The following is a 25,041-nucleotide window of genomic DNA, read 5'->3' as shown; positions in this document are numbered from 1 at the left end:
AGCATCTTTCTGCCTATTCTGTTGCTCAGATGTTGTCGTCTGTAGGAAAATAAAATGCCCCCCCTTCCTTTCACTCTTCCTCCTTCCTTATCGAATGCCTTCTAGGCATCCAGACAATCCATAGATTTGTTTCTATTCCTACATAAACTTACGAGAGTAATTGTGATTCTTCTTAATAAGGGTGGTGCAACCTATGTACCAGATGTTCAGAGAGGTTAGGTTCTTATCCAAAGACATCAGCTACTAAATGACTGAGGTGGGAATGAAATCCATGATCAATATGGATGTTTTGCATCCTGGGGGTCAGGGACTAGGCTATTTTGGTAGGTAGGAGTAAGGTACCCACAACAGACAAGAAGGTCCCAGGGAGAACTTTGGGTGATTCAGGTTACAGGATGGGGACCCTCTTTAAATGAGAAGAGATTCCTTTCTGTAGAGAGAACCTCAGAGATGCCTGTGACCCCAGGGGCTATCTGGACAGACATTGGTGAGGCCATCACAGCAGAGTACTCACTGTGCCCCTGGCAGTGTAGAAAGTTCCACAGTGTATTGCTTCATGTGGAGATCGTCTAGAATCCAAACCTTTGTGACCCTAAAGTATCAATTAATAAAAAATAAAAAGTTTTCAGACAAGTTGGCTAAATGTCCTTAAAGTGTTGAAATGGACATAAAATAGCAAAAGACACCACAAGGACAGATTTACAGAAGAGTGGAAATTTGATATTTAAAATATAAAGATAATTCAGAAGTGCCCTAGGCAAATGTGCTTAAAAATTATTAAAAAGCCAAGTAGATTTCAGAAAAAGATAGATAATGGAAAGGATTCAGAGAAGGATTAAATGTTGGATAACTTAATCATTAGACAACTAATTATTAGCAAACTAGCTTTAAGAATGAGCTCAAGTCCCGAAAGATTCCCTGGGTATTGGTCATGATCACGGCCAATACTCTGTCGGACTTCAAGTGATGATCAAATATTGCAAGATGATGATAAAGTCTTTAGAGATTCTATTGTTATGTGGGGAAATATCCGAATACCAGGATAATGAGCATAACTGTTACTTTTAGGTGGATGGTTTTTCTTGCTACAATTCCAGGGCAGGAGGGCTTATGTATTTGAGAAAAAAAAAGCAGTGTATTTTCCCCCAAATAGGAGAGTCATGTACTGAGCAGAGGGATGTAAAAGAGGTGAATGAATGTTATAGGACCATTGAGGCAGCAAGAGAGATGGGATGATGCTTAGCAGCTGCAGAGTGAGAAACTCTGGGAAGAAAAAGAGATGTCTAAAGATGAATTTTCAAAAGAATTCTATGACCTTGGTAATGCCCTTGTGCTACCCCTTTAAGGAAATCTAGAATAAAGAACGATTATTCTTCAAGTTTTAAAAGGCAGAGTTTTATTATTGTTGTTGCTGGATGCAAAGACAGGCCTCAAGTTTGCCTAGTTATAGTCAGGTTAGGATCTTTTAATTACTCTCCCTTTTAATGTCCAGAGCACTTATGAGTGAGAAGTGCCAGGAGAATTATTTATATTCTTTTGGGTAATATAAATGGGTAATTTATATTCATATTATAACCAGTAATGGGATTGTTGGGTCAAATGGTATTTCTGGTTCCAAATCTTTGAGGAATCACCACACTGACTTCCACAATGGTTGAACTAACTTACCCAAATGTCCATCAATGATAGACTGGATAAAGAAAATGTGGTACATATACACCATGGAATACTATACAGCCATAAAAAGGAATGAGATCATGTCCTTTGCAGGGACATGGATGAAGCTGGAAGCCATTATCCTCAGCAAACTAACACAGGAACAGAAAACCAAACACCGCATTTTCTCACTTAAAAGTGGGAGCTGAACAATGAGAACACATGGACACAGGGAGGGGAACAAACAACATTGGAGCCCGTTTGGGGAGGTAGGGAGAGCACTAGCTAAAAGAGCTAATGCATGCTAGGCTTAATACCTAGGTGATGGGTTGATAGGTGTAGCAAACCACCATGGCACACGTTTACCTGTGTGACAAACTTGGACATCCGGCACATGTACACCAGAACTTAAAAAAATTTTTAAAAAAAGTGCCAGGACAGCACATACAATGTGTTTCCAAATACCTTTGAATGGGAATGTGTCTGTGAACTGCTTCGTGCCACGACAACTACAAACCAGAGTACATAAACTGCTGGCTTGCTGATGTGCTATTTGAGCACTTTATGATTTTTTCTTAATTGAACCAAAAGATGAAGATCTGGAGATTTCACATTAAAATTGGATTTCAATGTCCAGTGAAAAACTGAAAGCTGTGGGAATAACTGGACCTGAGAAGTGGCTGTCCCCTAGCAGTGGGACATGTGCTCTCCAGCCAGCCACAGGCTCTAGATTCTTACTGCATTACCAGGCCTGTGTCATTCTTGATGCTCTGCCCCTGCAGGATCGACACTAAATTAGGCGCCTTGGGCACCAGGCACCTGGGCCTGTCTATTAATCATCATCACCAGGCAAAGCAGATGCTGAGGATGAAGCAAAAAATGCCTTCTTCTGAGGTTATTAGAGAATGAGGGAGAAACAAGGACTCCCCTGAATTAAACTTGAGTCTGGCAGTTTTGTACTGTGGCTGTAGGGGGAGAAGGAAGTGGGTGTGCTTGGGGGTTGTGGGAGGAAGCAGGTTTTGTGAAGTATAAAGCTCTCTGGAAGGGAATGATGAAGTGGGTTACAGCTAGGAAATAAAGATATATAAATATTTGATACAGAGTTCCAAAGCAGCAAGTAGGACGAGGACAGGACAATAAATAAAGATAAAAAAAGAGAAAGATGCTCTTGAAATGTATGCAAATCAAGCTTACCCAGTGTGAAAATGAGAAGTGATACACGAGGCTAAGAGTGCTGCGCATTGAATTTAAAATTTTCCTTGGGTATTTATGAGAACTGAGACACCTTGCCTAAATTTAGGCTGGAGGCTCCTCCAAGTATTGCTTCTTTTGCCTTTTGTGAGTCACAGCAGAAGGCTGGATAGGGGTGGAATTAGAGGAGCAGCAAACCCATTGTTGGCATCCTCTGCTGAAGAAAGCGGTAAGTTCCCTGGAGGCACCGACTCCCACGGGACAGTGTGCCTCTGCAGCTGGTGCAGCTGAGTGATTAGCTCAGCAGGACCTTGAATCCTGTTCCAACTTACCAAACAGAGTGAAAGTCCCTCTGCAGTCAGGAAACATTTCCAAGAGCCCAGCCTGTATGGAAGCAAGCCTCTCGAGAGCCAGTCCCCAAGGAGAAAGCATTTTCCTGTAGGACGCTTGGGCTCTCAGGCTGTCAAGAGTAGGGGGAACAGAGTTCTATGTTTAATCACTTGGGTACTGGAGAAATCATTTTGAGAAGAACTTGTGAAGGTCACAACCACTTAATTAAAGGAAGAAACTGCTCAGATGACCTTACTACATGCAGAAGGAATGCAGGTGAATTGAGATGGGTATAATTACAACTGCTGTCACTTCTATTATTTTAGCTCTCTGAGGAAAAAGAAGAGGAAGGTTAAATGTAATTTGGTTAAATATGGCTTCCGACTATCTACGGGGGGGCAGAAAAAAGCCTCTTAATTCTCTTAAATAATCCACGACTGAAACTGTCCCAAGTCTTGCTATGCCGAAACCTCAGTTGAGAGAATGACAGAGAAGGAATTATTTAATTTATATATTTACCCACTCACTTCTTTGAACTTTGTACTTCCTGAGGTCATACCACTTCTTCCTGCATCCAATCCACTGAGCCCTGCAGATCTTACCCTCTAAATATCTCCAAATGTGTTTACTTTCTCTCCTGCCCAGTGTTGTCAGCATATTCCTCTGCACTTAATCTATACTTCACACCTCAACTATTGTACTCTTTTCAAACTGAAAATCTGTCCCTTGAAATCCCTCAAGAACTTCTAATGGCTGTTTGGATAAAATTAGATAAAAATAAAACTCCCTAACATGCCCTACAGCCTTGCTACTTAAAGTGTGGTCCCTACACAAGCAATATGGGCATCTCTGGGGAACTTGTTAAGAATGGAGATATCAGTGCTTGCATTTTCACAAGATCTCCAGGTAATTCATAGGTATGTTAAAGTTTGGGAAATACTTACTGCAAGGCTCTGTGTTCTTCAGCAGCAACCTACCTGTTTAGCAAACCTGCACATTTGTGGGTCCCTGGGTAAGAATAGACATGGAGGCCCATATGCCCTATGCCTAAATATTTAAAAATAATAAATCAATCTAGCTGTTAAGATATATTCCATCCTTCTATCTTGACAAATATAACTTCACAATGATCTGGAGAGCCAGATTTCCTTAAGAATTCCTGGAATCCTTGTAGTTTCACACCACAACTTACCAAAGAAGCCTTAATCATGAATAGACATTCTACTTACCCATTCAACATTTGCCCACAGCTCATCACTTCTCAGGCCCAAGGGTACCTACCAAGTAGGATGGTCAATGTTTAGGAGGATTGAGCTGAGAAAGGGGTCACTCAGGCTTTGGAAGCAGGGTAGGGATACTTTGAAGAAGGAATTCTGTGTATCTTGTACCTGGAGAATGTTCTAGAAAGAGGGAAGCATGGACTCTAGAAAGAGGGAAGCATGAGAAGGCATCATCTCTTTAGCTCCAGAAGTTTCTTGCCACAGGGAGAGAAATGCGGCCGGTTGAAAGCCAGTGTGTGTTTGAGACCTCTCCTACGTAGGTTGAAGGCCATGGCTATTCTCTAAACTTTTCTTGAGTTGTAGCCTTCATCTCATGGCGACACAGGCATCCTGGTCTTTTTTTAGCCCCTCATCCTCACTCATTTTCTCTTTCTCTCTCAATGTAGGACCTTTGCATTTGTTCATCTTTCTAACCAGATATGTGTTTGCTCTTCAAGTTGTAGGCTTAATGCCACACATCCTAGAAATATCAGCTCAAGCATGCTTTTACAAAGGGAAGGCTTTCACAGCCTCTCTGATGAAGCCAAGTTTTCTAATTTTAGATTTGTATAATAACCTGTGTGGCACTTGTTACATGCATTTCTTATTTATCAATCTATTTATTTAATGCCCACTTTACCTACCAGAACATAAGCTCCGTTAGGGTAAGAACCATGATTGGCTTTGCTTTAGCATTGAGGACAGAGCTTTAACACATAACATGCGCCTGTAATCCCAGCACTTTGGGAGGCTGAGGCGGGTGGATCACCTGAGGTCAGGAGTTTGAGACCAGCCTGGCCAACATGGTGTAACCCCGTCTCTACTAAAAATACAAAAATTAGCTGGGCATGGTGGCAGGCACCTCTAATCCCAGCTACTCAGGAGCCTAAGGCAGGAGAATCGCTTGAACCCAGGAGGCGGAGGTTGCAGTGAGCCAAGATCATGCCATTGCCCCCCAGCCTGGGCAACAAGAGCGAGACTCCATCTCAAAAAAATTAAAAAAAAAACAACTAACAAACAACATGTGCTAATATGTATTTGCGGAATGATTTAATGAATGAAGATGGGATTCTTTTGACAGTGAGAATAACTAAACAGAATATGCAAGGTTTCCATGATTAAGCAGGAAAGTTTTCTTCTGTACTTCATATGGGCAAGGTCCAGTGGGTTATATAAAGCTCTGTGTTGTTGTCCAGAATGTGTGAGGTGACCTTTTGACAATGTGCAAAATGCATATAGGGTCTTGCTCTGTTTATTTCAGAAAATACCACTTTTTTCTTTTAAAGAAAGCCCTGTTCTCTGAAATTTCCCATTATTTTATCATTTTGCTTTGGAAATGTACTGTCTGCATTTTTACTAGATCCAGGTGTGGAGAAAAACAATTCCCTACATTCTTATATCTTGCAGTTTGTTTAAATTGATGTGATTTAAACTATTCACATTTTTAAGACTTTTTTTAGAGCAGTTGTAGGCTTGCAGCAAAATTGAGAGGAAGGTATAGAGATTTCCCATATACCTATGCCTAGGTATATATGCATGTATAGCTTCATACTCTAGCCATGTATAAGTAAATACACATCCATAGCCTCCCCCATTATGAACATCCTCCACTAGAGTGGTACATTTGTTACAAGCAGTGAACCAACATTGACACATTATCATCCAAAGTCCATAGTTTAAGGTTTATTCTTGGATGTACTTTCTATTCTAACCCATAGGAGTTTAGACAAATGAATAATGACAAATATCCACAAATATAGTATTATACAGTGTGTTTTTCTGTTCTAAAAATGCTCTGTTATTCTTTTATTCATCTGCCCCACAACCCCTGACAGCCACTGATATTTTTTACTGTCTCCATAGTTTTGCCTTTTCCAGAATGTCATGTAGTTGGAATCGTACAGTATGTAGCCTTTTTAGACTGGCTTCTTTCACTTAGTAATATGCATGTAAGATTCTTCCATGTATTTTCATGGCTTGACAGCTCCTCTCTTTTTAGCACTGAATAATATTCCATTGTCTGAATGTATCACAGTTTATTTATCCATTCACCTACTGAATGACATCTTGCTTACTTACAAGTTTTGGCAATTATGAATAAAGCTGCTATAAACATTTGCGTGTAGATTTTTAAGTGGACATAAGTTTTCAATTTCCTTGGGTAAATACCAAAAAGGAGGGTCACAGGGTAAGAATATGTTTATTTTTGTAAAAAACTGTCAAATTGTCTTCCATAGTGGCTGTGTTATTTTACATTCTCACTAACAGTGAATGTAAGTTCCTATTGCTCCACATTCTCACCAGAATTTCGTGTGGTCAGTGTTCTATATTTTGGCCATTCTAATAGATGTGTAGTGGTATGTCATTGTTATTTTAATTTGCATTTTCTTGAAGCCGTATGATGTGGAACATATGCAAAATATCCTTCCAGTCTGTGGCTTGTCTTCTCATTCCCTTGACACTACCTTTCACAGAACAGTAGTTTCTAATTTTAAGGAAGCCTAGCTTATCAATTATTTCCTTTGTGGATTGTGCCTTTGGTGTATATAAATAGTCATTGCCACACCCCAGGTTATCTAGATTTTTCTCCTGTTATCTCCAGGGGTTTAATAGTTTTACATGTTGAATTTGGTTCTAATATCCATTTTGAGTTAGTTTTTATAAGAAGTATAATGGTTGTGTCTAGATTATTTTTCTTTCTTTTTTTTTTTTGCATGAGAATGTCCAGTTGTTCCCACACCATTTGTTGAAAAGACTATCTTTGCTTCACTGTATTGTCTTTGCTTCTTTGTCAAAGATCATTTGACCATATTTATGTGGGTCTATTTTTCTGAGCTCTCTATTCTGTGCTGTTGATCTATTTGTCTATTATTTTACCAATATTACACTGTCTTGATTGTTGTAGCTTTATAGTAATCTTGAAGTTGGACAGTGGTAGTCCTCTGTTCTTCTTCCATATTGTGTTGGTTATTTGGGGTCTTTGTTCTTTCCATATAAACTTTAGAATCAGTTTGTTGATATTCATAAAACAACTTGCTGGGATTTTGATGGGGATTGCATTGACTCTATAGATCAAGCTGTGAAGAAATGACAACTTACCAGGTTTGAGTCTTTCTATCCATAAACATGGAATATTTCTACTTAGTTCTTTGATTTCCTTCATTAGTGTTTTGTAGTTTCCCTCATAGAGATCTTGTACATATTTTGTTATATATGCACCTAAGTATTTCATTGTAGGGGTTGCTAACGCAAATAGTATTGTGTTTTTAATGCCAGTTTCCACTTGTTCATTGCTAATGTATTGGAAAGCAATTTACTTTTGTATATTAACTTTGTATTCAGAAACCTTGGTATTATCAGTTATTCATTCTGGGAAGCTGTTTTGTTGATTCTTTTAGATTTTCTACATAGACCATCATGTCATCTGTAAGAAAAGACAGTTTTATTTCTTCCTTTCTAATCTGTATACAATTTATTTCATTTTCTTGTCTTATTGCATTAGCTAGGACTTCCAGTACAATTTTGCAAAGGAATTTTGAGAGGAAATATACTTGCCTTGTCCTGATCTGAATGGAAAAGCTTTTAGTTTCTCACTGTTATGATGTTAGATGTAATTTTTTAAAAATAGATATTCTTTATTAACTTGGGAAAGTTCGCCTTTATTCTTAGTTTACTGTGAGTTTTTACTATAAATACCTGTTGGATTTTGCCAAATACTTTCTCTGCATCTATTGATATATTCATGTAATTTTTTAGCCTGTTGATGTGATGGATTACATTAATTAATTTTGATTTTTCAACCAGTTTTGCACAGCTGGGATGAGTGTCATTTTCTTGTGCTGTATAACTCTTTATATATATTGTTGAGTTCAATTCACTAATATTTTGTTGAGAATTTTTACACATTTCTTATGTATTCATAAGAGATATTGGTCTGTAGTTTTCTTTTCTTATAATGTGTTTTTCTGCTGTTGGTATTGGGGCAATGCTGGCTTCATAGAAGAAGTTAGGAAGTATCTTTTCTGCTTCTATCCTCTAAAAAGATTATAGAGAATTGGTATAATTTCTTCCTTAAATGTTTGGTGGAATTCACCAGTAAAACCATGTGGACCTGGTGTTTTCTGTTTTGAAAGGTTATTAATTATTGATTCTAATAATTTCTTTAACATATATAGACCTGTTTAGATTGTTTCTTTCTCTCTCTCTCTTCTTTCCCTCCCTCTCTCCCTCCATCCCTCCCTTTCTCTCTTTCTCTCCCCTTTCTTTCTCTCTCTCTTTTTTCTCTCTGTTTCCTTTCTTCCTTCCTTCTTTCTCTTTCTTTCCTTCCTTCCTTTCCTTCCTTCCTTCCTTCTTTCTTTCTCTTTGTTTTCTTTTCTTTCTTTTCTTTCTCTTCCTTCCTTCCTTCCCTCCCTCCCTCCCTCCTTTCTTTCTTTCTTTCTTTCTTTCTTTCTTTTTTCTTTCTTTCTTTCTTCTTCCCTTCTTTCCCTTGTCTCTTTCTTTCAAGACACGGTCTTGCTCTGTTGCCCAGGCTACAGTGCAGATCATGGCTCACTGAAGACTTGACCTCCCTGGATCAAACAATCCTTCTTTCTTAGCCTCTCTAGTAGCTGGGACCATAGGCATGTGCCACCATGCCCAGCTAATTTTTAAATATTTTTTGTAGAGACAGGGTCTCCCTGTGTTGCCGGGGCTGGTCTCAGACTCCTGGGTCCAAGCAATTCTCCTGCCTCAGCCTTCCAAAGTGCTGGGATTACAGGCATAAGCCACAGCACCCAGCCTGTATATTTCTTCTCGTATGAGTTACGGAGTCTCCCTGTGTTGCCGAGGCTGATCTCAGACTCCTGGGTTCAAACGATCCTCCTGCCTCAGCCTTCCAAAATGCTGGGATTACAGACATAAGCCACAGCACCCAGCCTGTGTATTTCTTCTTGTGTGGGTTTTGGCAGACTGTGTTTTTCAGATAATTGATTCATTTCACCTAGGTTCTCAAATCTAAATCATAGAATTGTTCATAATATTCCTTTATTAGTCTTTTAATGTCCATGGGATCCACAGTAATGTTTCTTCTTTCATTTATGATATTAGTAATTTGTGTCCCCTCTCTTTTTTGTCTTAGCTTGACTAAAGGCTTGTTCATTTTATAATCTTTTAAAAATAATCATCTTTTGTTTTCATAGATTTTTCTGAATTAATTTCCTGCTTTCAATTTTATTGATTTCTGCTTTATTATATCTTTTCTTCTGCTTGCTTTAGATTAATTTGCTCTTGTTTATCTAGTTTTCTAAAATGAAAACTTAAATTATTGATTTTAAATTTTTCTTCTTTTTAAATATGTATCAATAGATATTGCTTCCCTCTAAGCACTGATTTTACTGCATCACACAAATTTTATAAGCTGTGTTTCTATTTTCATTTAATTCAAAATATGTTTTAATTTCTCTTGAGGTTAGTTGGCTTATATGTTATTTAGAATTGTGTTATCTTCCATGCATTTGGGGATTTTCCAGTTATCTTTCTGTTGTTAATTTTGAATTTAATTTCATTGCGGTCTGAGAGTAGACGTTATAGGATTTCTATTTTTTAAGATTTGTTATGGTGTGTTTTATGGCCCAGAATGTGGTTTATCTTGGTGAATGTTCCATGTCATCTTGAAAAGAATGTGTATTCTGCCATCATTAGATGAAGTATTTTGTAGGTGACAAGCATATAAGTTGATTGATGGCGTTTTTGAGTTCAAACATGTTCTTACTGATTTTCTGTCTCCTGAATCTGCCCATTTCTGACAGAGAAGTGTTGAAATCTCCAATAATAGTGGATTTATCTATTTCTTTTTGCAGTTCAATCAATTTTTGCCTGTAGTAGTTTGATGCTCTGTTGTTAGGTGCATACACATTAAAGACTGTTTTGTCTTCTTGAAGAATTGATCCCTTTATCATTATATAATGCCCTCTTTATACATGATAACTTTCCTTGCTTTAAAGTCTACTCTGTCTGAAATTAATATAGCTGCTCTTGCTTTTATTGGATCAGTGTTAGCATGGTATATTTTTCTCAATTTACTTTTAATCTTAATGTGTCTATATTTAAAGTAGGTTTTTTATGGACAACACAGAGATAGGTCTTGTTTTTTAATTCACTTTGGCAATCTCTCTTTTAATTGCTGAATTTAGACCATTGATGTTCAAACTCATCATTGGTATAGTTGAATTAATATCTAGTGTACTTGCTACTGTCTTCTATTTGGTGACCTTGCCCTTTGTTTCTACTTTTGTCCTCAACTCTTTTTTTCTGCCTTTGTGGTACTAAGTATTTCACATGATTCATTGTTTCCTTTGTCATATCAGTAATATTTCTTTTTTTAACCTTTTTTAAGTGGTTACTCTAGAGTTTGCAATACACATTTACTACTAATCCAAACACACTCTCAAATAAAATTATACCACTTCAAAGAAAGTGTGAGTTCCTTTTAATAACAAAATAGCCTGTAGTCCCAGACTTTCAGAGGCTGAGGCAGGTGGATCGCTTGAGTCCACGAGTTCGAGACCAGGCAACATGGCAAAACCCCATCTCTACAAAAAATACATAAAAATTAGCCAGGTGTGGTGGTGTGCACCTGTAGTCCCAGCTACTTGGGAGGGTGAGGTGGGAACATCACCTGAGCCCAGAAGGTGGAGTTTGCAGTGACCTGAGATCACACCACTCTACTCCAGCCTTGGTGACAGAATGAGACCCTGTCTCAAAACAAAACAGAAACAAAAATAATATTATTTTTCTCTTCATTTTAACATTATTGTCATTCCTTCACTTATATATAAGCATACGTAAGTATATATATGCCTCTTAGTGTATATATATATATATACTAAATAAAAATACAAAATTAGCAGGGCATGGTGGTACATGCCTGTAATCCCAGCTACTAGGGAGCCTGAGACAGGAGAACCGCTTGAACCCAGGAGGCAGAGGTTGTGGTGAGCCAAGATTGTGCCATTGCACTCCAGCCTGGGAAACAAGAGTGAAACTCTGTCTCAAAATTATATATATGGAAAATAAAAGTTCTAATTTTACCTTCGTGTATTCTTTGATGTTCTTTCTTTATGTAGATCTAAGTTTCTGATCTATATTGTTTTCCTTTTCTCTAAAGAATTTTCTTAACATTTCTTGTGAGGCAAGATTAAGTGGCAACAAATTTTCTCAGTTTTTGTTTATCTGAGAAAGGTTTTATTTCTCCTTCACCTTTTAAGGATAATTTTTTAGGACGCAAAGTTCTATCTAGGTTGGTGGTTTTCTTTTTTAATACCTTAAACACGTCACTCCATTTTCTTTTTGCCTGTGTGGCTTTTGAGGATTAGTTCAATGTAAATTTTATTTCTATTCCTCTATATGTAAGATGTTTTTTTCTTTTCACTTCTTTCAGAATTTTCTCTTTATCTTTGATTTTCTACTTTCAAAATGATATTCCCAAGTTTAGGTTTTGTGGCATTTATACTGCTTGGTGTCCTTTTAGGTTTTCTGATTTTTGATTTGGTGTCTGACATTAATTTGGAGAAACCCTCAGTCATTATTGTTTCAAATATTCCCTCTCTTTCTTCTTCTGGAATTCCCCTATGTGTATGTTATGCCTTTTGTAGTTGTCCCACAGTCCTTTGACATTTTGTTCTTTTTCAAATTTTATTCTCTTTGCTTTTCAGTTTTGAAGGTTTCTCTTGATATATCAAGCTCAGAAATTCTTTCTTCAGCCGCACTCGTGTACTAATAAGAGCATCAAAGACATTCTTCATTTCTGTTACAGTATTTTTGATCTTTAGCATTTCATTTTTTTTTTTTTTTAGGATTTCATCTCTCTACTCACATTGCCCATCTGTTCTTACATGCTGTCTACTTTATCTATTAGAGCCTTTGGCATATTAATCATAGTTGTTTCAAACTGCTAGTCTCATAATTCTAGCATCCCTGCCATGTCTGGTTTTGATGTGACCTCTGTCTTCTTCAAATTGTGTATATATACATATATATATAATATATATGTGTGTGTATATATATAAAAATATAATATATTATATATAATATTATATATAATACATGTATAATATATAATATATTATATATGTATAATACATATATATTATGTATGTATAATATATAATAATGTATGTATAATATATATAATATATATTATATATATGTGTATATATATATTTACCTTTAGTATGCCGTGTAATTTCTTCTTCATAGCTGGACATGATGTATCTAGTAAAAGTAACTGTTGTAAATCAACCTTTAATAATGTGGTGGTAAGATGTGAGGGGAGGGGAAGCATCCTGCAGTCTTGAGAGTAAGCCTCAGTCATTTAGTGAGTCTGTGCCTCTGGACTGTGAACCCTTTTTCCTCCCCACTTAGGTGGGAGAGGGTGGATAGAGCTGGGTGGGTTTGGATATTTCTCTTTCCCCAAGTCAGTTAGGCTTTGATAATACCCCAGCATTTTAGGCTCTAGTTAAATAGTTTCTCCTGGAGGCAAGCCTTCCCAGAAGAACCGTATTCCAGTGTATTTTAAAATCATTCCTTTTACCCTCCCCTTGTCAGAAGCATGAAAAAAAAATTTCTCTGATGTTTACTGCAAGAACCTGGCCAAACTCTTGGAAGTAAAACTCACCAAAATGTGGAGGTTCCCCTATGACTGGATCCCCTGGAGTTTTTATCTCTCAGACTTGTCTATGCTGAGCCTCCAGCCATTCATCAATTACAGTTCAGATTTTCCTACCCCAGCACTGGTTCTCATGGTGGTCTCTGCTCATGGCTCTTTGCCCTAGGAGCTGTGACGTCCTGTGTTTGCCTGTCTCTCCAAACGTGGGGGGAACAGTTTGCCTTGTGTCCTCACCTCTCTTATGAATGCAAGAAGAGCTGTTCATTTGCAATTTGTTCAGCTTTTAGCTTGTTGTTAGGATGGAGTGGTGACTTCCAAGCTCTTTACATGCTGAACCAGAAGCCAGAAGTCCCGCTTTTTTTCTTTCAAACTACCTTACTATGGCTTGCCATGTGTATCAGCTTTTGCTGTAAAAACAACCATCCCAGGACTTAGTGGCTTAAAATAGCAAACATTTTATTTAGCCCATAATTCTGTGGCTTGGCTGGGATGTTCTTCTGAATTGGGCCAGCTGGTCTGGTCTCTGCTGGGCTCTGTGAAGCATCTGTGGTCAGCTTGTGGGCATCTGACAGTGGTGGATCTAGGATGGACTCACTCACATGTCTGACAGTTTGGTGGCTATTGGCTGGGGTGGCCAGGTTTTCCTCTAGGTGGTTTCTTATGTCATCAGGCTAGCAAAAGCGCATTTACATGGTGGTCTCAAGATTTCAAGCACAACCAGAGAAGACAAGCCTCAATGTACACTCTTTAGTTTTCAGTTTGTGTCACATTTGCTAATGTCCCATTTTTCCAAAGTGTGTCACATGGACAACCCAGATTAAAGGGACAGAGAAATAAATTCCAGCCCTTGATGGGAGGAACCACAAAATTGTGGCCATTTTTTCAATCTACCACATCATGCTTAACCCTCATGGGGTTCCCAAGATAATCTCTAACTTATTTTATAGGATTGCCCTTCAGAAATATGCCATTTGTCACCAAGAGAAATATTTAGCAAATAACAATAGAAATAACTCTGGTTTCAGCAGTGAAGCTTGACAGTGACAGGAAATGAGTAGTAGAAAGTCTTATGTGTCTGGTAGGGTCTGGGACTGATTTTGGGAGAGAATGGGCACCTAGACATAGTCCAAGCTGAAAAAGTTCATGAAATAAGATGACACAAGTTGGATGTATTCCAAATGGGCAGCAGGAAGCAGATGGGGCATCTGTGGTTCCTATCCTGTTCTCCAGGAAACCTGTTACAGACTGTATTTCTGGAAGATAGTGCAATCTGCTCTGTCAGATGGAAGCCACCACGATTCATGTCTGAGGGCTATGAAACTTTGGAAATCTCATATTTGACTGTGTTGCCAGCACAAAATACATTCAGGGGAAATAATGTATCTTGTCTCTTAAAATTCATCTACCTTGGCCTGTACTGCATATGATATGATGAAGTAGTATCAGCATAAAGCACTTCTCTGGACCCAGATGGCCTGAATTTGAATCCAAATTTCAACATTAATTTGCAGCATTACTTTTAGGAAGTTAGCTAAACAATCTATGCCATGCTTCAGTTTCCTCATATATAGGATTGATTAATGATAGCATCATTAATCATTAATTATGAGGGTATTGGCTATTTTGAGGGTAAAAATGGGGACACATATCCAATATACATATATAATAATTGGGCTGGCATATGTTAGGCATTCAATAAAATATTCACCAGTGAAATAAGAGAAAAAAGAAGGATCTCCATGGTAAAATATTAAATGGATCATTTCTATTTTGGACTTGTTCATTCTCTTTACTCAGGCTGGATACTTTACTTTAGCATTCTTTTCTCCTTTCTATAAGAGAAAAAACTATGAGATAGCCAATGTCTTGCTATACTTACGAGAGCTAATAGTTAATAATATTCTTCTAAGATGGAAGGGGAGATAACAACTGAACCCACCATATATGTGGCTTTTTCCCACTCACATATTTTAATTTTTAACACTTCCCAAGTGATCATGAAAAGTGATCATGATATTGCCAATGGAATTTTTAGATCAGGAGTCTAGGTCTGATCCTATCACAGACTAGTAGAGTGGTTTTTGAAAGTATCCTTAACATTCCTGAATTCATTTTTAAAATCGAGGCAATGAAACTTCTCTACATAAGACAATTGATCTGTGTTGGGAAGACTAAGAGCAAGCTGGTGACTGGGTGATGGTTGAGGATGACATCAATATCCAGTGGTGAGTAGTAATTATGATGGGACATTCTAAAGTGTGGTTTATTTTTTTCAGCTTCTTTATGAAGATAAAAAGGTGGCATTGGTATTGCCTTTTGAAAAATAAAAGAAGTTTTGGTGAAATCACAATATGGATTGGGGCTCGCAGACTGAAATAATGGGAGAATCTCTGGAGGACTGAACCTGGGAACTCTAGGTAGGGACAGTTAATTCTAGAAACTGTCTGGAACCATTCCAGTGTCCAGAAACTTGGTGATTGCAACATAATTTTGGCTTGTGAAGAGGTGAGTGGTGTGGTCAGTCACCACTATTTAATTCAATAAATATTTGTGGAGTGTCTACTATGTTCTGGGCACTGTGTGGTAGGATGGCACATGGAGAAAACACTCTGGTTTATTATTTCACATATGGCCATAAATGCCATGTACCATCCTAAATCTCAGGCATTAGACATGTTAGGGTACCAGATGGAGAGTCTTGGCAAGAACAATGACTGCAAGGCAATAGATCTTGACTGGAGCGTTAGTGCCCCTTAACTAGAGCTTAAGTGTCTACCATGACGAATAAAAATATATGGGATATATGGTTGCTAACCCAACTATGTATTAGGTGCTTGTATAGTTGTGAGGTTTTGTTTCTAGTTCTGGCGATGGTGAAATGCAGAACTTCTATTTGTTTGGTCTGGAGAAAACTGTTCCTGGGGGTTGTGAATACATGCCAGGAGATGTAGTTAGAGCTAGATGCAGACAATATTTTTGAGATATAGTCTACAGAATGACCATCAGTTCTCAGTGGGAGTAATGAATGACAGGTTTCTTGACAGAATATGGACTTTGTACTTCTTTAAACCAAGCACACATTATATGTAGCTGCAGGTCGAGATGTAAGAAGACAGGTCTTGTCTGGTTTTGAGGAATACATTGCTTGATAAATCCCACAGCTACTGCTACACAAATGTGCATCTTTTCTAGGACATATCATAAATAAAGAGATGTCCATGTTTTCTGCTACATTTTTTCTTTACATCCAAGGACAGAGCTTATAATATCAAAAGTAGGTTCTCAACGAATGGGCGACCAATACATAGACTATGGCCTAGGACATCACCTGGAGTGGAAAGTTGAACATGTTAATGACGAATTATTAAAAAGACTGAGTCAGTTAAATCCCTAGGTAATTTTAATGTTCAGCCAAGATTAAGAACCACTGCTCTGGAAGTGGTGTCCCTCAAGTTCTTAAAGAACCAGGACCAGAGGGAAATCATTATCTACTCAGAGCCTCCAGGAGCATCCACTGGGTAGATTTGGGTCTCATTTTGTGGAGTGGGTCTCCTGTGAGCTTGCACACTGTTTTTTGAGGGCTTCCTCTTTCATGTTTCAACCTCTGTCTCTCTAGCCAGGTCAGGAGTATTAGAGGCAGAGATTCATCAACAACCCATTTGTATAGTGGAGCAAAATGATTGTCTTTAGGCTTGAGTATTTAACAGACAAAGGTAGAAGGGCTGCCCCTGAGTATCTTTCCAAGCACATCTATAGAGGGTATAGTCTGAGCTTTATTTTTACTGCCCAATAAGCTGAAAGCCTCAGTTCTGGATCCATAGGTCAAAGCATTTAGAAGAGGTCAAGAACTCTAGTTAAAGAATCTAATTGTTTGTATTTAACTTAAGCCAGTGATTAGTTGTAAGAGCTTGGGAGGTAAGTTAAATGGACATCTTGGTTTCCCTGTCTATCTTTAAGATGGACAAAAAAAGAACCTTCATCTTATAGTTAGTTGGGAGGAGTAATCACATATAAACCATTTAGGTGGTGCCTGATACATAGTAAATCTTGATAAATGAGACTATTGTTATTATTGGATCAGGCAACTGATTGATTTAGGCATAATTGGGCTTGAGTTTTTAATTGGTTAACATGAAAATTGCACAGTACAAATTTTCTATGATGCTAAGAGGCACTTTGACATTTTGCTCTTTAAGCTGCTGTTATCTATATGTTATGTCTATCGGTGAGGTTAAATTGATTGGTTTCCATTCAGTTTTGCATTTTGTTTTTCATTTGGGATAATACACAATTGCAGAGTTATTGATGGAAGTTACTGAGCTGGGAATTTAACTTGGTTGTTAAGACAACTAAGCAAATGCATCCATCTATTCCCCCAGTGGAAGGAGCTCTACCAGAACTGTCATGAGGCAATTGAATCTCTCCTTTCAGAAAATTCTGGCATCTCCCATTGTCCTCACTCTTAGAACTCAACTCTTTCTAATAAGTTTGAATCATCTGGTGACTCACTTGGTATTGAACAAGGAAGGAGAAATGTTATTAGTTTTCTATTGCTGCGTAATAAACCACCCCAAAACTTAGTGGCCTAAGATAACAGTTATTCTGTGGGCCAGCCATCTGGGCTGTGTTCGTTCAAGTGGTTCTTCTGGTGGTCTTGCCTGAGGCCACTCTGTTGGCTGCAGTCATCTTAAGGCTCAACTGGGGCTGGAATGTCTAAGATGACCTCTCTCGCATTTTTGGCTGGTTATTGCTGGCTTGCAGCTGGGCCACATGTCTCCAACAGACTATCTTGGGCTTCTTCCCATGGTAGCAGCATTCCAAAGGACCAAGAGCAGCCACTGAAAGACCACTTGAGATCTAAACACAGAAGCTGTGTGACATCAAAGCAAGTTAAAAGGCCAGATCAGGGTTAAGTTGTAACAGAATTGATTCTACCATTTAATGGGAACAGCTGCAAGGAATTTGTGACCATTTTATCTTACCACAGGAGAGGAAGGGACAAAAGAAAAATGCAGAAGAAATATACTACTGAGTACCATCTATGCACCCACTAAACCCCTTTCAATGATAATATCTAGCATATGTTGAGGGCTTTCTCTGTGCCTACCACATGGTATGCACTCAATTAAAGGTATTAACAGTTTTATTTTTAAAAATGACCACCATCTTTACAAACTTTATTAATTAATGTGATTCAGTGATTGCAATACCAAGGACTCATGCATGAACCTTCTTTCTATTTCTTTTTTTAAGTGGTGGAAAACCAAGAGTGGAAGTGTCTAGTTAATTGCTTCTGGGATTAGCAAATGTCAATGTCTCACAGTTTACTGGAGTGTTGCATCTTCCTTCTTAAATTTGGGGGTTCTGCATTTCAGTTTGTCAATGTTCTTGGTCCAGGTTGTCACTTTGAGCTCTGGAGTTGGCTTTGCATTCTCTTGGTGTGTAGTCCTCATCTCTCTGGGATGTGTTTTTATCAGCAACTTTTCAATCTCTCCCCTTTTAAGGGTAACTTTGAGATGTGTGAGGTCATCTGTGAGCCTCTAGTAACAAGGTTTTTCTGGCATTGGATGCTTTCTAATGTAGAGTGGGATTTTCTGTACACACATGGTACCACCAGCTTCTCTGTAAAGTAAATGTGACCTTCAGCTTTATCTGAAACACTTTGATGTTCTCTTCTGCCAAGCTTGTAAACATAAACCTCATGTTCTATTCTATGTGCACCTACAATAGTCATAACACAGGACTGTGACAGTGTGCTCCCCAAAATATCAATCATATCTTGGAACCGAATTCTCTGTCTGTATTAGAAATTTTACAGTAATCACATAGGTACAAAGTTTAGTCAGGCTTTTGCCTGAGGAGCCAGATGATTGAAATTAAAGATTTAGAAGAGAGCTGGATTTGTAATTATAAAATAAATTAAATATACCTCTTAATTCTTTAAAACAGCGTTTTCTTAGGCTGCTAAGGATGATTCTATCAAGAGCCTGCTACTATAGCCTTGAAGTACAAAAAATTGTTGATGAATAGAAATTCCTACACAAGTTATTCTTGACCTTAAGGAAAAAGATTTTTTAGTTTAAATGAGTGTTTCCTAAATGTGGTTGCACATCAGAATTATCTGAGATTAAAAAAAGTTATAATCTTGTAACACTTTGGCTTTGAGATATAAATTTCATGCAATAAAAAAGTCTTAGATCATGGCGCTTGGTTGGCAAGTTTGGATTATTCTATACAATCACATTACCACTACCTAAAATAAGATAAAAACATTTTTTTTTCACTCCAGAAAGTTAGCTTATGCTTCTTTCCATTCAATTACCTTCTCCCCCAGAGACCACCACTTTCTGACTTCCATCATCATAAATTATTATAGCTTGTTCCCATACAGTGTGTACTATATTAGATATGGCTTCTTTTATTCAAAATAATGTTGATGAAATAAAATTTTATTGTCATGAGTAGTTCATTGTTTACTGCTGTATCATATTCTACTGCATGAATATGCCATCAATTTCTTTGCCTATGGTCTTGTTGTTGGACTTGTGGATTATTTCCAGTTTGAAGCTATTTTTCCTAAGGTTTTTGTGAATATTCTTGTACAAGTCTTTTTGTGGACATAATCCTTCATTTCTTTTGGGTAAATATTTATGGAAATTTCTGGATCATAAGGCATATATAAATTGTTTAATTTTATAAGAAATTGACAAAAAAAGATTGTACCATTTTATACTCCAACAGACATGTATTTCTTGAGTAGTTTTTAAAAATTAAAGCTATTTGCCCTCACATGCCACTTAGACACACAGCCCATTATTAGCACTAGGATCTTTTACAAATTACCAATTAAATATTTGCCTGCATAGATCATAAATACACAAAATTCTATCCACAAGTGGTCTATGCAAGCAAATATTTAACTGGTAATTTCAAAGAAGTTCCTGATGCTAATAACAAGCATTTGTAATTGTATGATTGTATATTCCTCACAGTCTAAGATTCTTTCCAGTTTATTAGCTCATCAAACGTTTTATCGAGATATAATTCACATACCATAAAATTCACCCTTCAAGTGTTCAATACAGTGGTTTTCAGCATATTGCCATTGACTGCAATCTAATTCAAGATATTTTCATCATCCCAAAAGGAAACTTTGTTCTCATTAACAGTCATTTTGCATTCTTCCTTTCCCCAAGTCCATGGCAATTAGTAATCTATTTTATGTCTTTATGGATTTGCCAATCTTAGACATTTCGTATACATAAAACCATACAATATGTGACCTTTGGTTTCTGGCTTTTTTTCAGTTAGCATTAGTTTCAAGTTTTACCCATGTTGTAGAATGTATCAGTACTTCATTCATTTGTATGACTGAATAACATTTCATTGTATGAATACTTCAAATATTGCTTATCCATTCATCAATTGATAGACATTTAGGTTGTTTCTACTTTTTGGCTACTATTAATCTTTTGAGGCATTTCCAGACATTCCTCCATAGCAGCTGTGCCATTTTGCATTCCCACCAGAAGTGTGTGAGTGTTCCAATTTCTCCACATCATTGTCAACACTTGTTATCATCTGTCTTTCTCATTACAGCCATCCCAGTGGGTGCAAAGTGGTATCTCATTGTGGTATTAATTTGCATTTATCTAATGACTAATGATGTTGAACATCTTTTCAGGTGCTTATTAGCCATTTGTATATATATCTATTCAAATTCTTTGCCGTGTTTTAAAAAATGAGGTGTCTTTTATCATTGAATTGTAATAATTATCTATATATTCTGGATAAAAGTCCCTTCCTGATATATATTTTGCAATATTTTCTCCCATTCTGTGTATTCCTTTCTCACTTCTTTATAGTATCCTTTGAAGCACAAACAATTTTGGTTTGTGCTTCAGAGCCAAATTTATCTATTTTTATCTTTTGTTGTTTGTATGTTTGTTGTCATATCTAAAAACAAATCTACATCTAAATCTAATCCACAGTCATAAGATTTATATTTAAGGTTTCTTCTATGAGTTTCAGCTCATATATTTAGGTGTCTGATCCATTTTGAGTTAATTTTTATGTATGATGTGAGGTAGGGATCCAATTTCATTCTTTTCCACATGGATATTCAGTTGTTTCAATACCATTTGTTGAAAAGATGATCCTTGCCCCATTAATTGTCTTGGTATCCTTGTGAAAAATTTTCGACTATACCTATAGTTATTCTTTGTGTCTCAGTTCTATTCCATATATATATATGTCTATTCTTGTACTAGTACTGCAGTCTTGATTACTGTAGCTTTATAGTAAGTTTTGAAATTAAGAAATGTGAATCCTTCAACTTTGTTTTTTTTTTTCAAGATTGTTTTGATTATTGATTGATTTGATTATTCTGGGTCCTCTGCAATCTCATAAGAGTTTTAGGATTCGTTTGTTAATATTTTATAAAAAAAAAAAAAAAGCCAGCTTTGCTTTTGATAGAGATTGCATTGAATTTGTAGACCAATTTGGAGAGTACTGCCATCTTAGGAAACATAAATCTTTCAATCCATGAACACAGGATACTTTTCATTTATTTAGGTCTTCTTTATTTTCTTTCAGTGATGTTTTGTCATTTTCAGTGTACAAATCATGCACTTCTTTTATTAAATTTATTCCTAATTATTTTATTGTTTTTGTTGCTATCATTAATTGAATTGTTTTTGGATTGTTCATTGCTACTATTTAGAAATACAGTTGCATTAGTATATTGATCATATATCACACAGTCTTGCATTTGTGGGATAAATTCTACTTGATCATGATGTGTAATCCTTTTTCTATGTTGATAGATTCTGTTTGCTAGGATTTCATTGAAAATTTTTGCATCTATATTCATAGGAAATATTAGTCTGCAGTTTGTTTTGTCATGATAGCTTTGTCTAGTTTAGTATCAGGGTAACACAGCCTCATAGGATGATTTGAGAAGTATTATCTGCTCTTTAATTTTTGGAAGATTGATGTTAATTCTTCTTTAAGTATTGACTAGAATTCACCAGTGAAGCTACTGCTTTTCTTTGGAGGTAGTTCAATCTCTTTGTTATAGATGTGTTCAAATTCTGTATGTATTTTTTAAGTCAGTTTTGATAGTGTGATTCTTTCTAGGAGTTTGTCCATTTCATTTAGATTCTCTAATTTATCGGCATATAATCCTTTTCACTTCTGTAAGGTGTATTAATGTCCCTTCTTGTATTCTTAATTTTAGTAACATGAATATTACTTCCTTCTTCGTTATTCTAAATAAAAGTTTGTCAATTTTGTTGAACTTCTCAAAAAACCAACTTTTGGTTTTGTTGATTTCCTGTATTATTTTCCTATGTTCTATTTCATTTATTTCTTCTTTAATTTAATTATTTCCTTCCTTCTTCTTACTTTGGGTTTAGTTTAGTTTTCTTTTTTTCTAGTTTCTTTTGGTGGAAGAATAGATTATTGATTTGAGATTTTTTTTCAATATAGGCATTTCTAGATAGTTTTCCCAAAAGCACTATTTTAGCAGCATTTCTTAAGTTTTGATCTGTTGTAGTGTCATTTTCATTCACCTTAAAGCACTTTCTAATTTCTTTTGTATTTATTCTTTGAATGATTGGTTATTAGGTAGTGTGTTCTTCAGTTTCCACGTATTTGTAAATTTTCAAAATTGCCTTTAGTTACTGATTTCTAATTCTATTTCACTGTAATTGAGAACATACTTGTGAAGCTTCAATTATTTTAAATATATTGAGATTTTTTGGATCTAACGTGGTCTATTCTGAAGAATATTGTATGTGAGTTTGAGAAGAATGTATATTCTGCTCTTTTTGGGTGGAGTATTCTGTTAGGTCTAGTTGGTATCTAGTGCTGTTCAAGTCTTCCATTTTCTTTCTGATCTGTCTAGTTGTTCTATGTATTGTTGAAAGAGAGATACTGAAGTCTCCAATTATTATTGAATCATCTGTTTCTTCCTTCCATTGTGTCAGTTTTTGCTTCATGTATTTTGGGACTCTGTTGTTAGTTGCATATATAATTGTTTTATGTATTTGAGACAGAATCATGCTATGTCACCAAGGCTGGAGTGCAGTGGTGTGATTTTGGTTCACTGTAACCTCTATCTTCTGGGTTCAAGTGATTCTCATGTCTCAGCCTCCCTAGTAGCTAGGATTACAGGCATGTGCCACCACGCCTGGCTAATTTTTGTATTTTTTTTTGTATTTTTAGTAGAGATAGGATTGTGCCATGCTGACCAGGCTGGTTTCAAACTCCTGGTCTCAACTGATCAGCCTACCTCAGCCTCCCAAAGTGCTGGGATTACAGGCGTGAGCCACCACACCTGGCCGAATTGTTGTATATCTTTAGTGGATTAATTATTTTATCATAAGAAAATGTTTTCCTCTGTCTCTAGTAATAATTTTTGTCATAAAGTCTATTTTTTCTTGTATTAATATAGCCACTTTAACCCTTTTTTGGTTATTGTTTGAATATTATACCATTTTTCATTATTTTCTTTTGGCCTATTTGTGTCTTTGAACCTAAAGTGTGTGTCTTGTAGAAAGCATACAGTTGGATCACATTAAAAAAAAAAAAAACCATTCTCCCTGTCTGTGCCTTTTGATTAGAATGTTTAATCAACCTATAGCTAATGTACTTATCGAGAAGGTAGTATTGATGTAAGTCCTTTTGTTATTTGTTTTCTATATGTCTTTTTTATGTCTGCTTTTTAACTACTGCATTTTTGTATTGAAGTATTTTTAGTGTAACATTTTTATTCCTATGTCATTTCTTTTACTACATTTCTGTGAATGTGTGTGCATGCATGGGATTACAATGAACACCAAATAACAATCTAGTTTAGAGTAATATAAAATTATTTTAATAGTTTACAAAAATTTTATTCCTATATATCTCCATTTCCTTCTCTCACCTTTTTGCTATCATTCTTGTACAAATTACATCTTTATAAAGTTTATGCCTAACACGGATTTACAATTCCTGCTTTATGCATCTATCTTTAAGATATTAATAAGTTGAGAGAAGAAAAAGGTTTACAGCCAAAAAATATACATGTGCTGGCTTTTATATTTCCCTCTGTAATTAATTTTACTGGTGTTTTTTATTTCATTATATGGATTCAAGTTGTTGTCTAGTGTTCTTTCATTTTAACTGTAAAGATTTGTATTAGTATGTTTTGTAGGACGGATCTACTTCTGGTCACAAATTCTTAAAGTTTTATTTCTCTAGAAATGTCTTAATTTCTCCTTTATATTTGAAGAGTAGTTTTGCTGAGTATAGAATTTTTGGCCAGCAGCCTTGAAACATTTTGAATACATTATCCCACTGCCTCCTGGCTTCCGTGGTTTCTAATGAGAAATCGACTATCAATCTTATTGAGGATATCTTGTTGTGATGAATCATTCTCTCTTGTTGGTTTTGAGATCAATTTATAAGGCTTGGCTTTTGACAGTTTGAGTATGATGTGTTAGGTATGGCTTTCTTTGAGTTTATCCTACTTCGAGTTCACTGAGCTTCTTGGATGTGTGCATTAATATTTTTAATTAAATTTGAAAAGTTCTTCATCTTTTTTTAAATATTTTTTCTGTTCCTTTTTCTGTTTTCTCTCTATCTGGAGTTTCTATCATTTATTTATTTCTTTACTAGATGGTGTCCCACAGGTCTCTTAGTTTCTGTTTCTTTTTTAAAAATTCCATTTTCTTTTGGCTCCTCAGAATGGATAATTTTAATTGACTTATCTTCAAATCCACTGATTCTTTCTATGTGTGCTCAGATTTTCTGTGAAAAGCTTCTAATGAATTTTAAATTTTAGTTATTGTAATCTTCAAGCTCCAGATTTTCTGTTTGATTTTCTTTTATAATTTCTTTTTCTTTAATTTTTTTTTTGAGATGGAGTCTCGCTCTGTTGTCCAGGATGGAGTGCAGTGGCACTATCTCAACTCA

This window comes from Homo sapiens, chromosome 20, assembly GCF_000001405.40.
Source record: "Homo sapiens chromosome 20, GRCh38.p14 Primary Assembly".
NCBI lineage: Eukaryota > Metazoa > Chordata > Mammalia > Primates > Hominidae > Homo > Homo sapiens.
This window is presented reverse-complemented; position numbering follows the sequence as displayed.